The sequence below is a fragment of the Homo sapiens genome, chromosome 2 (assembly GCF_000001405.40).
Source record: "Homo sapiens chromosome 2, GRCh38.p14 Primary Assembly".
Taxonomy (NCBI): Eukaryota; Metazoa; Chordata; class Mammalia; order Primates; family Hominidae; genus Homo; species Homo sapiens.
The window spans coordinates 100,052,807-100,069,957 of record NC_000002.12 but is presented as its reverse complement, the minus strand read 5'-3'; the positions used below and the strand labels follow the sequence as shown (position 1 = coordinate 100,069,957).

Sequence of the window (17,151 nt, the reverse complement as noted above, 5' to 3'; positions counted from 1 at the left end):
GTGTAACTGCGTGATACAGAGGAGAAGAGACATGGGATCTTTTATCTTTACCTGAGAATGGGGAGATATGTATGAATTTTAAACTTTTTTGAGTGAGGAGTTTATATCTGGAGCTTCTGATTATTATAAAAGAGCAAAAAATCATAGGCTTTCTATTACTGCATTCAACTTTTAAATGCGTGTTGATGATACATTAATTTTAAGGCATTATTCACATAGATAAGGCATTTGATTAAACTGATTCAAGTTATATCGTATCAAATTTCTTTCTGATTTTGTGTTGCTTGAAGAACAAGACAGGATTAAAAAACAGGCAAGAAAATAGGAGATGGCTAAACATTAACTCTATGTAAGCCATTCTGTCCTCATTTTTAATCAGTGAATGCTCTTAAGCTTGATCATATATTGCAGAAAATGTTTTTTAAAGGGACTATGACTGTTTTCTAGGTAGAGGCATCATACTAGGTATTTTACGTGTTATTTAAATATCTCCATGACTCATTTAGGCAAAAACTATCATGTTTCCTATTTTACAAATGAATTCATAGGCTAAAAATGTTTATTGGTGGTTTCCAAAATTGGACTGCTAGCAACTCATGGGAAAAAATGGACATTCCTGGACCCCCCTCTGGAGGGTAAGATTTTGAAGTTCTGGGGTATAGATCTGATTATCTTTAGAGTTAAGTAGTTTCCCCATTTGATTCTAATAAACACCTTGATTTGGAGGTCACACTTGGGTGGCAGAGCCACTCAGTATCACACAGTTAAAAAAAATGATAGAAATCCATCCATGTTCCTGCAAAGGGCATGATCTTGTTCTTTTAGTGGCCTGTTGGAGGGTGGAGGTTGGGAGGAGGGAGAGGATAAAAAAAAAATAACTAGAGAGTACTAGGCTTAACACCTGGGTGACAAGATAATCTGTTCAACACACCCCCATGATACAAGTTTACTGTATAACAGACCTGCACATGTACCCCTGAACTTCAAAGAAAACTTAAAAAATACAAGGTTTGGTTACCATCTAAGGAGAAAAAAATACCCAAAGTGATAGAACTGAGGTTGGGACTCAGTTCTGTGTGACTCTCCACCTCATAGTCTGGAAGTGACTGTCATGGGGACCTTGAAAATCACCCTCAAATCCTAACAGTTGAAAGAGTCCTAGCGTTTATCTTGTCCATCATCTTTACTAATGTGGGATTTCCCTCCCAGCATCCTTGATGGTGGGCGTCGGGAGTCCCAGCTGGAAGTAGTTCAGAGGAGATGAGCCTCTGAGTGTTCCTTGCTATGGATGAGGCAGTCCTAATTATTAGCAAGCTCTGCTCTACTCTGAGTATGTGTGTTCCTGCTGGCCACTTGCTAGTTTTGCCCTCTGGAGCTATCCAGAATAAGTCAAGTCCTTTTTTACGCATCACAGCCTTTGGGCTATTTAAAGAAACTCATCCTCTTCCAACTGAGGCTTTCCTACTTTAGGATAATTGTGTCAGGCGCCAAGTTCAAATCTCCCTTCACCCTCTTGAAAAAGAAATCCCACCACAGCCTCAACAAACAGCTGTGATATCAACCACAAAATCTTCCTAGCTCATCAGAAGCTATGGCTGTTTCTCCCAGTGGCAGATTGTTTCTTAGCCTCCCTGGATCTCCCAGTTAATTTCCTTTGTTTTCTGTATTTCTTAGCACCCTGTATCAAAATTAGGACACTTGCTCCCTGTTTATAACACACATTTAAATTTTGTTTGTCAAAAAGATCATTCATGGTTCAGGTCAAAGCTATGAAGAAGACAGGAACTTAGAGCATTAAGAGAGAAGTTGGTTGTGCCGAAGCGAGCTGGCGTCTCAATTCCACGTAGCTTGTGATCTTGCGGCCTTCGGCAGTACAACAAGGCCAGCCTTTACAGAAGAACAAACTGTTCCTGAACAGTTCCTCCACTGTATTAAAAGCAAACATATTTTTTCTCCTATATTGAACCCTTCAGCCTTTTGTGTTTAAACTATTTCTCATCTTGTTTGAACTATTTTTTCTGGAACAAACATTTATTGTAGGCAGTGTAAATAACAGCTGGCACTCTGTTTGTGTTGACTTTTGTATGTCTTCTGGGCCATTATTTAGTTAGCAGAGAGTTTGGAGACCCAAATTCATGTCTCTGCCTTGTTACCAGTTTAGAGCTTAGACAAGTCTTTTAATTTTCTAGGACATAGTTCTCTTGTGAAATAGGGATAATAAGTACCCTTGCCCTACCTCATGGAGAGGGATGATAAAAATATGGGCTACCGAGAGTCTTAAGATATCTAGAAAAATGTGCTACAGAAAACAACATCATGCTAGTGTGCATTATTAATTGCCATTATTATTAATGCCACTATTGGCTTATCAATGGAATTTAGACTCTTCTTCAAGCATGCTTTTAGCTAAAATTTTTGTTGTCGTTGTTGCTGTTTAGACAGGGTGGAGTTATAAAAAATATTTACCAGAAAATTCTGACCTTTCAGGGAACAGACTGATCACTCAGAAAGGATTCTTTTAATTTACTTCAGATGCACTTTGAGAGGGGCACATGTGTGCACACATGTGTACACTCACATCTGTATGCTTGGTCCATTTGTTCTCAGGAAGGAAACAGATAAGAGGCACTTTCCCTTGTAGATTATCCTGCTCCTTCCTTTGGCTGTATATTGGACTGGAAAAAATAAGCTTTCTAAGTCCTGGGACGAAAGGGGTTTAGGATTATCTGTCTGTCTTTTGAACTACACCCTCCCCCCACCTTTTTTTTTTTTTTTTTAACTATGTGGAAGCATGAACAGATCTTAAAGTGTGCTAGGTAAGGGGGAATGAATTATGGGTAAGATGGTTTAGATGAAGATACAAGTCCACGAATTGCAGTTCACATCATCATGAGTGCATTTCCTTCAGGGCATAACCCTGGAGTTGAAGATATGAATCAAGTGACATTTTCTGCAGGTTGTGTTTGTAGAAGCTCTCAGACTTTTGTCAGGTTCTCCAAATATCTGTCCCCTCCTGTTGTTGTCTCTAAAATGTTAGTACAGTATTGCGCAGTTCTCCTCTAGTTTTCCTTGCGGAGGGGCTGCGTGGATTAATTAACAGATTACTAGCAAATGCTTTGAAAATCAAAAGGTCCTTCAGGAATAATCAGCATTGTTCGGTTCTCCTTTTGAATGAGTAGAAAGGATATCTGATTTCTTCAAAGCAATATAACTAAGATGGAAGAGAGTGTTTCTCTTGCAGTGATGCTAACTACTGTGTTCTGATGCACTACTCAGGTTGTATTATCATGCCATTATTACAAGTGAAGAAATAAATGGGACCTCACTGGGTCTGCCAGAACCTCACTGCTGCAGAGCATTACAAACACATTAAAGTGTAATTGACATCTAGTAGCTGTATGTCTATAATGTGCCAATTAGAATATTTAGCTTTGCAATAAAAGAGGAGTTAATAAAACACATTTAAGAAATGGAAAATAAGATTAGAAGTGGCATTTTGGCTCTTATTCAAGTGGCAGGGAACAGAAGAGGGTGTGGAAACCAAGCTCAGCTCAGTTCCCTGTGTCTTCATTCGTCACTGGCTCGTTCATTACCAAATGTCTATAGATATTCAGATACCACCCCTTCCTCCAAAGTATTCTACTCTCCGTTTGATTCAGTACTATTTTATAGCTTAATGTCATATGGAAGTTTTAGAATTCAGCTCCAAAGTAAACAGTAAAATGAGTTAAAATTACAGTTCATTGATTTCTTGCTGGCTTTTTAATTTATTTGTAAAACAAATTGCATAGAGTTTCTACTTTCTTCCCCTCAAAACTCACAACCCCAAAAATATCTGGCAGGGGGAGGGGGCTTTTATTTTAACCACGAGTGAACTACTGTTTAGCAACATTGACTACAAATGTGCTTCTTGGGAATTTCACCACTATATAATTGCCTTCTTCATTTCTTTTCTTGCTTAACTAGTGTATATAATCACTGATTTATAAGTGTGAGCTGTAATAATGTCAGCTGTCTGCTGGCATGATTGGAGAACTTATTATGAAATGAAGTTAATTTTATATCTTCTTTTCTTGGAAACTCTTTTATACTTAATTTTAAGCAGATAAGTGACATAAAAGACCAAACTACTTGAAGATAATGCATTTAGAAATTGCTGATTGATGAGCTTATGCTTATCTAATTTTGTTTTAAAAAGATTCTAATATATCTTTTGAGAATAGATTTTTGAGTGGAAGAACAAAACTAGTGTAGGTGGATAAGATACCAGCAAAAGAAAAATGGAAGGGTTCTGTTTCCCTCTGTCCCAAAATTATTTTAATGTTAATCCTAGAATTCATGTTTTAGTCATGGTTGTCAGTTGTGGAAAATATTATTTAGTTTAATAGTTTTACTTAAAATAAATGTTTGTGTTTTAAGCAAAACAGTTTATGTTGTAAAAGGGTAACAGCTACATTTTATGCATCTCTTTTTGCTGGATTTTCTTTTAGAGATAATGATCTTTAGGGCTGTTTTCTATAAATATGCATATCGTACTTGTGTTTCTGTTTAAATGCATGCGTAAGAAGAACTGAATTTGATTAACTTTATTAACAATAAATAATGAAGTGTACTCTTTTATGTTAACCCTTATTTCATTGTGTATCAGCCTTCAGACATTTGGCTATCTAGACAGGCAGTCATTTATATCCTTTTAAAAAAATTTATTGCTCTTTTGACTAATTGCTTTTTATATGACTTTTTATAAGCCTTTTGCATTGATACCATTTGTTAAAACACAGCCAGAAGAAGGCAGAGCAGCCTCGTTTTTCAAAACTTTAGTGTCATTTTTATAGACAAATAACACTTGTAAATGATGGATAATAGCTAGCAGGATGCTGTGTGGTATAAAATGTGCGTGAATTATATTTTCTGGGAGTTAGAAGGTTAACTTGTCTATGAACTAATTGAAAAGCTTTATGGTAAATGCATAGTGCTGTGTGCACATTATCGGCATGACTTAAACCAGCTGAAAAAGGGATTTTCCTTCCCTTGGGTATTATTCATTATCTCCTCCCCTTTTCTGGCTAGCTGATGTATATGGAGAGTATCTAATCATAATGAATCTATAGAATTTATAAAAAAGAGAACAGCGTAGATGCTTTTCACAATGAGTTGGCAGTTAATACGTTGCATATTAGAAATGGGATGGAGGTGAGTGCAGGCATTGAAATTATCGCTGCATGACGATGTATTTTTGTATTTGCATAGGCCTTGTTTATCAAGATGATTGTGGTTTTTGACCCTGGGAAAGCAAATGGTGAGAGATAGACTTGGTTTCTTCTGCAACTTGCAATGCATAGGTAACAGGAATTTATCACAAGCTTTTTGTTGAGGAAGGCTAACTCACATGTCTCTCTTTCTTCCTACATTGGACAGTTGTGTTAAGTTGAAAACACACCATCTTAATTTAGTAGCAATTCAGATATTCAGTCAAGAATATTAATATGTTAATGAGAACTTCAGAAATTTCACTTATGCGAAAGTAAGACTTTCCTTGCCCATTGAAGACATGGCTGTAGGCATCCATCCAGATTATGTGGGAGGAGGTAGGTTTAGTGTCATATTGATACTCTCCCCACCCGCTCCAGCTACTCTTTCTCATTGAGTGAATGCTGGGGAGAAAAGGAGTAGAGGAGGGGTAGGTGATAGTAAGAAATAGAAGGGATTTCTCACTGGGTCTGGTCATATGCTGGCTTTGTGTTTTCTGGGCCTTGTTGCAATTTAACATCTCTTTTCTTTATCATTGTTGTTTATCAGTTTTATGACAATCACCTAGATTGAATTTCTTTTCTTTTCTTTTCTTTTCTTTTCTTTTCTTTTTTTTTTGAGACGGAGTTTTGTTCTTGTTGCCCAGGCTGGAGTGCAGTGGCACGATCTCGGCTCACTGCAACCTCCGCCTCCCGGGTTCAAGTGATTCTTCTGCCTCAGCCTCCCGAGTAGCTGGGATTACAGGTGCATGCCACCATGCCCGGCTAAGTTTGTATTTTTAGTAGATATGGGGTTTCTCCATGTTGGTCAGGATGGTCTTGAACTCCTGACCTCAGGTGATCCACCCGCCTCAGCCTCCCAAAGTTCTGGGGTTTAAGGTGTGAGCCACCGCGCCCAGCCTGAATTTCTTTTCATTTACCCTGATTAGTATATCTGTGGATTTATGTCTTTTAACACTCCTGGAAACATCTCAGTTATCATCTCCTTAAATATTCCCTTTCCTCCTTCCTTTCTATTCTTTTCTTCTAGGTCTCCGATGAGACATATTTTGGACCTTCTCATTGTATTCTCCATTTAGGTTAACATTTCTTTATATTTTTCATTTCCTTGTCTTACTGTATTGCCTTTTAGGTAATTTTTTCATTTCTTCCTTCCAATTCACTAATTCTATTTTTAGCTTTGACTAAATGCTGTATAATCTTGCTAGCAAATTTTTTTATTTCAATAATCATAGTTTTTATTTTAAAAAGTTTTAGTTCTTTTAAAATCTTCCTTGTCATTTAAAAAATTGTGGTAAAATACACATAGCATAAAATTCACCATCTTCGCTATTTTTAAGTGTACGCAGTTCAGTTAATATTAAGTACATTCACGTTGTTATGCAGCCAATCTCCACAGCTCTTTTCAGTTTGCAAAGCTGAAACTGCCTGGTCATTTTTTTTTTTTTTTTTTTTTGAGATGGAGTTTCGCTCATTGTTGCCCAGGCTGGAATGCAGTGGCGCGATCTTGGCTTACTGAAACCTCCGCCTCCCAGGTTCAAGTGATTCTCCTGCCTCAGCCTCCCGAGTACCTGGGATTACAGGCAAGTGCCACCACGCCTGGCTAATTTTTGTATTTTTAGTAGAGACGGGGTTTCACCATGTTGGCCAGGCTGGTCCTGAACTCCTGGACTCAGGTGATCCACCCGCCTTGGCCTCCCAAAGTGGTGGGATTACGGTCGTGAGCCACTGCACCCAGCCCTGCCTGGTCATTTTTGATAGTCACTTGTTACTTATTTATTTTTGTGATTATGTCTTTTACTTCTTTAGCCTTTCATATGTAGTTATTTTATAGTCAGTATTTGGTAACTGAAGCATCTGAAGTCCTTGGCACTTTGCATCTGTTCTTTCTCTCACTCCTGATGTTTCGTTTCCCTGTCTGTTTAGTAAACCTTAATTGCTAGCTCATATTTGGTTGATCCTAATTGTAGAAAAAGTCTTGGGGCCTAAGTCAAGGATGCTTTTCTCAGAGTATTTGCTTTTGCTTTTGCCAGTAGTCATAGGGTGCTGCTGTCCTGCGGGGGTACTGCGGTCCTGAGACAATTCCATTGCCTTCCAGATGCTGCCATGTAACCCCGGAATTTTAGTTTAGTTCCCCCACCCAGCCACAGAGCTGAGGCCCAGCCTCCCAGAGATCACGTGAGATCACCACATGTCCTCACAGGACCGTTCCCCTTTTCTGAGGCTCACTGCCCAGGGATTTTTGGTTGTTACTGTTTGTTCCTTTTCCTTTTTGCCCCTGTAGACATTTTTTTTTCATTTCCTCTGAACCCAACAAAACAATAATAATTGGTTTTCATTCATTCATTACTGGTAGACAGTAAAACAACAAGAGTATTAGTCTGCCATACTTCTGGAAGCCTGAGCTGGTTTTAAAGGGCCTTCCACATGGGCACTCCGTGTGCTCCTCTGCTGGGCCCCTCCAACTGCAGCCACCTTACTCTGGCAGCCTTGCCTTCCCTTGCTCCCACATTGCTCGCAGCTTCTGATTTTATGAGATCTGCCTCATCCAGACCCTGCTGGGTCCATCTGACCCCCTGGAAGAAATCTCTTGGGCAGGATGACCTTGGTCGACATCCCCATCATAAATTCTACATCTGGCTTCCCAAATTAAGGTGCCTTTCCTCCACTTCAGAGGGAGAATGCAGTTCAGGTCCTTCCCAGTGCAATTTTAGCTAGCCTCTATCTTTTAGCTGTGTACCAGCTGCCAGTCCAGCAGGCCTCCAAAATTCTACGGAAATTATATCAAGTGCTGTGCATTTCTGCTTTGAAGCCTCTGTCAGTGGACTTGAGAGTCGGCACCCCCCCCCCCTCCACTGTGCTACCCATCTCTTTGGTGATGGTGGAGGGGATCACAGCACAGCTCTTTTTTTCCCCCTCAAAGAAAAACAAAATTCTCTGTTGACTTCTGTTTCTCACTCAGAGTAGGTCGGGGTATAAAAAATCATGAATCTAGTTATGACACATTAACTTTGAAAAGCTCCTTTGGAGAGCCTGGCACCTCACTTTGGAAATTTATATCTGTCATTGCTTGGAAACTTACTTGAAACTTCCAGTTTAATACCTGCCCATACAAACATGCAGCATGTGTTGCCTCCATCATGGGATAGTTTTTTCTCCTTTCTCTGACTCCTGTTGTTTGTTAAACATCATCTAGAATGGAATGGACTTCCCTCTTTCCATGCTGGCCAGTTGTTTTACTTTTTTGTCACCTTGGAGATAGTGCTTCTTACCTCCTGTGATTCTGAGACATAAAGATGATCAGGAAGCCATTACAGCCACTGCAGAGTCAGCAACAATAGGGAAGGGCCGTACACTGTCACTTGGCATGTTGTTTTATTTTTTTTAATGCCATACGGATTAACCATCATTAAAAATAAGGTTATATTTATATAGTTACTCCCCATTAAGGAGATGGAGCTTAACTCCTCATTCCTACAGCATGGGCTGCACTTTGGGACTTAGCTTCAAACATCACACTAGGGCAAGGAAAGAAAGTAACTTAGAGGTGGAGAAACCTGGCAAACAGTTTCTCATCCCAGTGATCAGTTCACATCGACTATGTCACACCTTGACAGGATGTGGTGAGAAGGATGTTTCATCTCTGTGACCTGAAAAACCCATAATCTGGGTCTAGTGATGAGTGAGAAAAGCATCAGTCAAACCTACATTGAGGGATATTTTACCAAATGCCTGGCAGTGTTCCTCAAGACCATCAACGTCATCGAAAACAAGGGAAGTCTGAGCAAAGTGTCACTGACCAGGCCAGGCAAAGGAGCCATGAGCTCTAAACGTAGTGGGATGGGATCTTGGGACAGAAAAGGACATTAAGGGGAAAAAAGTTGTGAAATCCAAAGAAAGTGTAGCGTGTAGTCAATAGTATCATACCAGTGTTGCCTCCCTCATTGTGACAGATGTACGTAGTAATGTCAATGGTAACAACAGAATAAACCAAGTGAGGGGTATCCAGGGGGTGAGGGGTATACAAGGGTTCTCTGCACTATCTTTGTAAAGTTTTTGTACCCCTAAATGTAAAACTATTTAAAATTCTATTTAAGTAGAATTTTTAAATATTTTTAAATAAAAATAAATATTTAAATCATTTATCTAATAGCTCAGAGAGCTGATATATATCTATAGTGTTACCTGTATTTCAGCAACACCTGTGACCATCTTTCAGAAGGGATGAGAAATTGTGGTGGAAAAGGTAGCCCGGTTAAGCAGGCGGCGCTTAGCACAGTGGTTAAGGCATAGCCTTTGGAGCCAAAATGACTGGGTTTGAAGCCCTATTTTGTTCCTTCTAGCTTTGTGACCTTAGGCAAGTTGACATTCCTGTGCCTCAGTATCTCTTCCTGTAAGATGATCACCCTGTGTTGAGTGACTAATGAGGTAACACATGTAAAGCTTATCTGGCATAGGCTACATCTCTGTTGTAGCACCAGGACTTTCACTGTATTTTTCCAACTTCTTCAAGTGACTATAAAGGTGACAAGTTTGTGGATAACACAGAGCTGAGCAAGCTCCTATGAAATTACCTGTTCTCGGAGGCTGGGGTTGAACCAAAGGAGGATGGAGGGTGTGTTTCCCTCATGGGTTGGGAGTGTCCCCTTCACGTGTGTGTGTGGGACCCCTTGGGTGTTCTCTAACTGCACACGAGTGGATCAGAAGGATACACTTAGTCATAGGCATTTTGTGTTTGTTGTTACACAGAACGTTATCTGTGATCTTAAAGACACGCATCATGACTGGCAATATCAAAGCCTGTTCTTTGGATCCTGCTGTGTTTCATGCCAGATACATTTTCATTGTCCTCTTTCAAAGGCACTTGCAAAGTCTCTCTGCCAGATCCTGGAAGTGGTCATCTTCCACTCCTGGCAGTTGGCTTCTTGGCTGACTCTTTGTCCAGATGGAGCACTGATGTGGCCTCTGAATGAAAATTAGACCTCTTTTTCTCATTATGCCTTTGCTAACTTGCCTTGGATTTGGAAGAAATGAGGACATACCATTTTCTTTAAAACAACAACCACGCTGGCTATATTCAGATATAATTCACATACCATACACCTCATCTATATAAAGTGTACAATTCAATGGCTTTAGTATATTTACAGAGTTGTGCAGCCATCACCATAATTTTAGAATATCTTTACGACCCTACCAGTAAACTCCCACTAGTGGTGTATGAAGGTTCCAGTTTCTCCACAGCCTCACTAAGACTTTTTAATTATGTGTCTTTTTGATATAGGCATCCCAATGCTACATGTGTGGTGGTGTCTCATTGTGGTTTTGATTTGCATTTCCTTAAAGACTAAAGATGTTGAACACCTTTTCCTGTGCTTATTTGCCATTCATTTATCTTCTTTAGAGAAATGTCTATTGAGATCCATTGCTTTTTTTTTTTTTTTTTTTTTTTTTGGAGACAGAGTCTCACTTCTGTTGCCCAGGCTGGAGTGCAGTGGCACGATCTTGGTTCACTGTAGGCTCTGCCTCCCAGGTTCAAGCTATTCTCCTGCCTCAGCCTCCCAAGTAGCTGAGATTACAGGCACCCACCACCAAGCCTGGCTAATTTTTGTATTTTTAATAGAGATGGGGTTTCACCATGTTGGCCAGGCTGGTCTTGAACTCCTGACCTCAAGTGATCCACCTCCCTTGGCCTCCCAAAGTGCTGGGATTACATGCATGAGCCATTGCACCTGGCCAAGAATGTTTGCTCATTTTAAAATAGGTTTTCTTTTTATTATTGAGTTGTAAGAATTCAGTGTATATTTCAGGTACAAGTCCCTTATCAGATACATGATTTACAGATATTTTCTCCCATTCTGTGTGTATCTTTTCAATTTCTTGATAATGGTTTTAATTTTGATGAAAACTTTTTTATACTTGTACTTTTCGTGTCATATCTAAGAAGGTTTTGCTAATCAAGGCCTATATTTTCTAAGAGTTTTATAGTTTTGTCTCTTACATTTAGGTTCATGATCTATTTTGAGTTAATTTTTGTTTATAGTACGAGGAAGGGATCTCTTGCATTCGTGCTAAGTGGTATGTAATTTTGGTAGAGGCTATACAGTGTGTATACATGGCTAGCCATCCAAAAAAAAAGAAAGACTTCGGATACTGAGTCCCTAATGAGCTGCCCTGGCCAGAAGCATTGCACCTATGTGGCTGTTTCATCATTCAAAATTGCTAATTAAAGGTCTGCTATCCACTTAACCAACAATGTTTATATATTTTTTTTTCTAAAATGTATGTAAATATTATTTTTGCTTTTTTCATGATGTCCTTTTATTTTTAACTGTCTCAAAAACTAGTTTGGAGCACCTTCAGTAAAAAAATACACGTAGCATGGTATGTCTGAAAGAGCTTGAACTTAGAGTGCAGAAGACCCGTGGTAAGTGCTGTACCTGCCATTTACTAGTTATGTCCCTTGGGCAAGTGCTTCCTCTGAGCCTCAATTTCCAGCAAAATTGTTGAGAAGAATCCATGAAATCATGTTTATAAAATGCCTGGTATGCCATTTCTTGGCATATCTTAGTTACTCAGTAAATGGTTACTGTTTTTGTAGTTGATACTAAAACTGTAGCTATCACTCATTTTTCTCCTGTGTGGTCCCTTTTATGATTCCCCTATTTGAATATGCCTTGGGTCAGTCCTTTTCTCAGAAAGTTAATGTCATTTTATTTTCTAGCTAGGGTGATTTACTCAAGCTATTTGAGAGTTGCAGTCTCCTAAGTTTTCAGAGTGTGTTCCCAAGGGAACCATGAAGAATAATAGTTTATCTTGATTCCAGGAAAGACAGTTGCTGAGGGATTCATGGAATACACGTTTGCATTTCTTTCCAGAGCAGCTCACAAATTATGTTTGTTATAAATGCTGGTTGCTTCTTTGCCAGAGAAGAAACTTCCTTGGAGTATTCCAGATTTCTAGTGAAGACAAAGATTTCTTTGTCAAGATGAGAAAGACTTTACGAGATTGTGGGGAGGTAGCATTGAGTTTAAACCAGTAGCAAGAGATTGGTGAGAAAACAAGATGTGACATTCTGAAAAGGAAGGACAAACTGCACCAATAGAGAGTCACAGATACCATGTTGCTGTGGAGGGGTTGAGGGAGTTAATAACACTGATAGTAATATTGGCAATGATAATTGGTCTTGAGCATTTATCATGTGATATGTGTAAATGCTATGTGCTTTAATCATGCATTTAGTATTAAATAGGCACAGAGATTCCAGTGAGTTGAGCTGAGAGTTAAAGAGATTGGGTAACTTATCCTGTGGTCATAGAACTAGTAAGTGGCAGGCCTAGGATATGAATCCAGTGTGGCTAGAGTTTTTTTTTTTTTTTTTTTTTTTTGAGACAGAGTCTTGCTCTGTTGCCCAGGCTGGTGTGCAGTGGCGTGATCTCAGCTCACTGCAACCTCTGCCTCCCGAGTTCCAGTGATTCTCCTGCCTCAGCCTCCTGAGTAGCTGGGATTACAGGCGCCCGCCACCATGCCTGGCTAATTTTTGTATTTTTGGTTGAGACAGAGTTTCACCGTGTTGGCCACGCTGGTCTCGAACTCCTGATCTCAGGTGATCCACCCGTCTTGGCTTCCCAAAGTTCTGGGATTACAGGTGTGACCATGCCTGGCCCAGTGTGGCCAAAGTTTTCAACAGAAATAGTTTTCTCTTTTTCTTGAATGTGTGGAAGACCTGAGAGCCCATGAACCCTGTGGAGTGCTTTACCATTTCTTCAGCTTTACTTATTGAACCAGCTGTTCAAAAAACCAGACACTTTTCAGAGTAAAGAGGCCTCTATTCGTATTTACCCCAGGGCAGACAGTATATACCAGAGTGCCTGAGGTGAACCAGAAAGTGTGGTTGCCTGTATATAAGAGTTTTAAAACAATACTATTTGGAGCACTCCCCACAAAAAAGGACATAGCCTTATTTAGAACAGATGGTATAGAGTAAACAAATGACATGGACAAAACAGAACTGCTCAACTTCTATTTTGATTTTATCATCTTTATCAGGAAAAATGATCTTTAAGTTGGAAAGGGTAGAATAAACATGGTTAGGAGACATTAAAACCCAAGATAGAAGAGATAATGAGAATGACTAAAAAAATGCCTTTACGCCTCCTGGGCACGGAAGGAACTTGCAGATGTGATTGTGGAACCACTTTAGATAATATTTTGTGAATCAAGGAGAATAGGATGCCAGAAGATTGTAAATGATTTTGACAAACATGTCCCAGCTTTCAAGGGGGAAAGCATGGTTTGGAAACTACAGATGGGTGAGCTTAAGTCAGTTTCTGAGGAATTCTAGAAGCAATATTAAGCAGACGTTTGTGAACATATAATAAGGCAGCAGTGAGTAATGGGAGACAGAAAGGATCCTCTAAGAACAAGTCTTTTTCTTGTTTAGATGGGATCATTCGTCTGATACATGAAGGGAATGCCGGATAGAGAGTGAATATTGATTTCAGCCAGCCACTTTGAGAGTCTCTGGTGTCACAGACAAGATGGAGAGATGTGACTAGCGTGATAATACAGTTTGATGAGTTTATATTTGCTGCCATAACCAGTGTGTGTGTGTGTGTGTGTGTGTGTGTGTGTGTGTGTGTGTGAGAGAGAGACAGCGATTTTTTTTTTTGTTCTAAGTGACAGGGTCTTACTCTGTTGCCCAGGCTGGAGTGCATGATCATAGCTCATTGTAACCTTGATCTCCTGGCCTCAAGCAGTCCTTCCTTCTCCGACTCTGAAAGCTCTGGGATTACAGGTGTGAGCCACTGTGCTGGGCCCACAACTATTTTAAAACTGGGTGATGAACAGATTGATCAACTAATGAAATAGCTTCTGGGGCAAAATGGCCTGTTGCTTGTTTTTATAAATAAAGTTGTATTGGAACACAGTTGTGCCCATTTGTTTATTATGTATTGTTTAAGGCTGCTTTCGTGCTACAGTAGCAGAGCTGAGCAGTTGCTTTAGAGACCATTTGGCCCGCAAAGCCTATAATATTTGCTTTCTGGCTCTTTAACAGACAAAGTTTGCTGATCTCTGGCCTAGACAGAACACTGGTTCTCAGCCTGCTGTACATTAGAATCACCTAAAGCATTCTTACTAATGCCCAAGCATCTTTCCTCCTCAGCCCCTCCAACTAAATCAGAATCAGAGGTTGAGCCTGGCATTTTTCTTTCTTTTCTTTTCTTTTCTTTTTTTTTTTTTTTTAAGATTTCTAGGTGATTGTAATGTGAAGTCAGAGCTGGAGACCACTGGCCAGGAGGGAGGGTGCTAGTGGGGAGTGCAGCAAGGGCGTGTGTGCCATCTCCTGTTTCCTATGAGGGTTAATGATGTACTGTGCAATCCAATCTCTGGATGACACAGAGGGAGAGGTGGACATGGTTCTTTAGATGACAGGGTAAGAACTGCAAAAATTCTGGCCCTAAGGTAACAAGATGATGTTGGTATAGTAAAAAATATAAAGGCCTTCCCTATGTACTAAAAGTCTCTTTCAGAAGTGTCAGGTGGTGATTTGGCCACACCCAGTGAAATGGATGTGAAAATGAGTTAAGGGTTAACTGCAGACTCAATATGAGCCAACGAACAGTATGTGATAACCAGGAAACCCAAAACGAGATAAAACCCAACAATAACAACCAAGGCAATCTCAGCCTACATTGACATAATTACAGTGAAAGCAGGGATAAAATTTCTACTGTATCTGCTCAGGTCAAATCACACCTGTTGGAGAAACACTCTTTGTGGGTGGGAATGTGGCTGGTTCAGCTTTGGAGTCACCTGGGGTAGTGCTTCCCAAGAGGCTGACCTCCACTGCCCTTAGAGCAGGGTGAGGTGCCACAGGGAGCAGTGCAGTCTTGTCTCTAAGAGGTGTACAAGTGGATCAGATGGCCATTTGGTAGGGGTTAGAAATGAAAGTTCATCTTTGGGGATTGTATTAGGATTTTCCAGGGAAATAGAACCAATAGGATGGATGGAAAACAATACACGTAAATCCTTAGGATAAGGAATTGGCTTATGTGATTATGGAGGTCAACAAGTTCCAAGATCTGCAGAATGACTCAGCATGCTGGAGATGCAGGAGAGCCAGTGGTGTGAGTTCCAGTTCAAAGGCTGGCAGACTTAAGACCTAGGAAAACCCAGTGTTTCATTTTGAGTCCAAAGGCAGGGAAAAACTGATGTCGCAGGCTCAAGGCAGTCAAGCAGAAAGAGATTCCCCCTTATATCTAGGAGGGGTCTGCCTTTTGATTCTGTTCTGGCTTTCAGCCAATTGTCTGGGGCCTACCCATGTTAGGGAGGGCAACCTGCTTTACTCAGATTGAAATGTTACTTCTATCCAGAAACAGCCAGAATAATGTTTGACTAAATGTGTGGCACCCCATGGCCCAAGCAAGATGACACAGAAAATCCATCTAATGCAACTTCCTCATCCTGTGGATGAGAAAACAGAGTCTCAGAGGATGTAACTTTCCCAAGGTGCCCCCACTTGGTCAGTGGCCAAGGTAGCTCTTGGGTTATTAGGTCTTCTCACTCCACAGCCCTATGTTCTTCCTGCCACACTGTTCAGCAGGTGTAGAGGTTGTGTTAATGACCTCTGTGGCCCTCTCCAGCCCTCAGGGTTAGACTGACTGTTAAATGGAAGAAGTCATTCCTCAGAAGGAGAGGCCTTAACCAGGATGGAGAACTGCAGCCATTGGGGGTGTGGTGCTTGATTTTGAAGAGACCATTGCCTAGATACAGAGGAGGTCAATGTAAACCCAAGTGATGTCCGCTGTCTTATGTACTTGGATTGTGAGCTCTTCCTTTTGTACACAAACACTCTTCAGGCCCCTTCAGAGCCCCAAATACTACTTAATCCTTTAATGCTGTTGCTGTCAAGAGGATGAGGAAGAGGGATGTCAGGCAGATTTCATGCTGGCGTGAATAATTAAGTGAGTGCAGGGCTACCATCTGAAGCTCCATGGGGGAGTTCCCTTTGTGCTGTCTGCATATGGCCTCCTCTTCTTGAATCAGCAGATGATTCAGCCGGAAAGACGAAGACACTCAAAGGGACTCTTTTTCAGGGATATGTCTCATCATAATAGGCTGTGCTCCCACCCCATGTCAAAGATGATTCTAGGTGCTTCTTATACATTATCTTTCCTGGTCTAAAAGACAACTATGAAAGGCAAGCTACACATTATTATCCCCATTCCATAAATGAGAAGACTGAGCTCTGGATGTATTTTCTTCATGTTGGAGGAAAATGATATTAATTGACAGGTCCCAGGTTTCTAATGTAATGCCCCCATGTGTTTTCACACTCTTGGCACTGAGCTAAAACATCTCATTTTAGGAACCAAGAATACAGTTATTAGAAGACCACTCTCAGAGTCAACTCTCGGGTACTGTCAAACAGCAGAATTTGAAATTCCACAGTGGCTAACACGCTGACACCCAACACAGTTCAAGTGTTGTATAAATAAAGTCAACAGCCTGACTTTTGAGTAAAACATAATTTTTCAACTGCTGCCAAGAGGAAGATAATTGATGATAAAAGGTAAACATAAATGACTTTTTGATTACCTGTTGTTTTAGATTACCTTAGCTTGTCTTCATCATTACTGCAGAGACTTCAAAGCTATGCAGAGTAAACTCTCAGGATCAATTTCCCCCTCTCCACTTCCCCTCTTGTCACATTTCCCCACACCTTTTAACAGAAGCCCTGCTCTTGGGGAAGTCAGGAATTAGTTGCTTCACTTTCTAATTATTACAAGTGTGTTAAACAAAATCACTGATAAGAGCCTCACATGTTGCAGGTGCGCATGCTCAAGCTCGTACTGGGGAAGGCGGCTGGAGGAAATGTGAGCAGGTGCAGCGCCCTGTC

The 17,151-nt window shown here is 40.4% G+C and overlaps 1 protein-coding gene across 20 annotated transcripts in view; it reads left to right on the top strand.

Moving 5' to 3' along the window:
* Positions 1-17,151, top strand: part of AFF3 (ALF transcription elongation factor 3) — a 597,172-nt gene that overhangs the window by 72,633 nt on the left and 507,388 nt on the right. The window contains exon 1 of one of the 20 annotated variants that reach the window (XM_047444287.1): positions 2,779-16,824. The exons of the other annotated variants lie outside the window; for them this stretch is intronic. The gene's annotated coding sequence lies outside the window, so the exon portion shown is untranslated. Of the gene's footprint in view, positions 1-2,778; positions 16,825-17,151 lie in introns of those variants that run through there. 20 annotated transcript variants of the gene reach the window in all.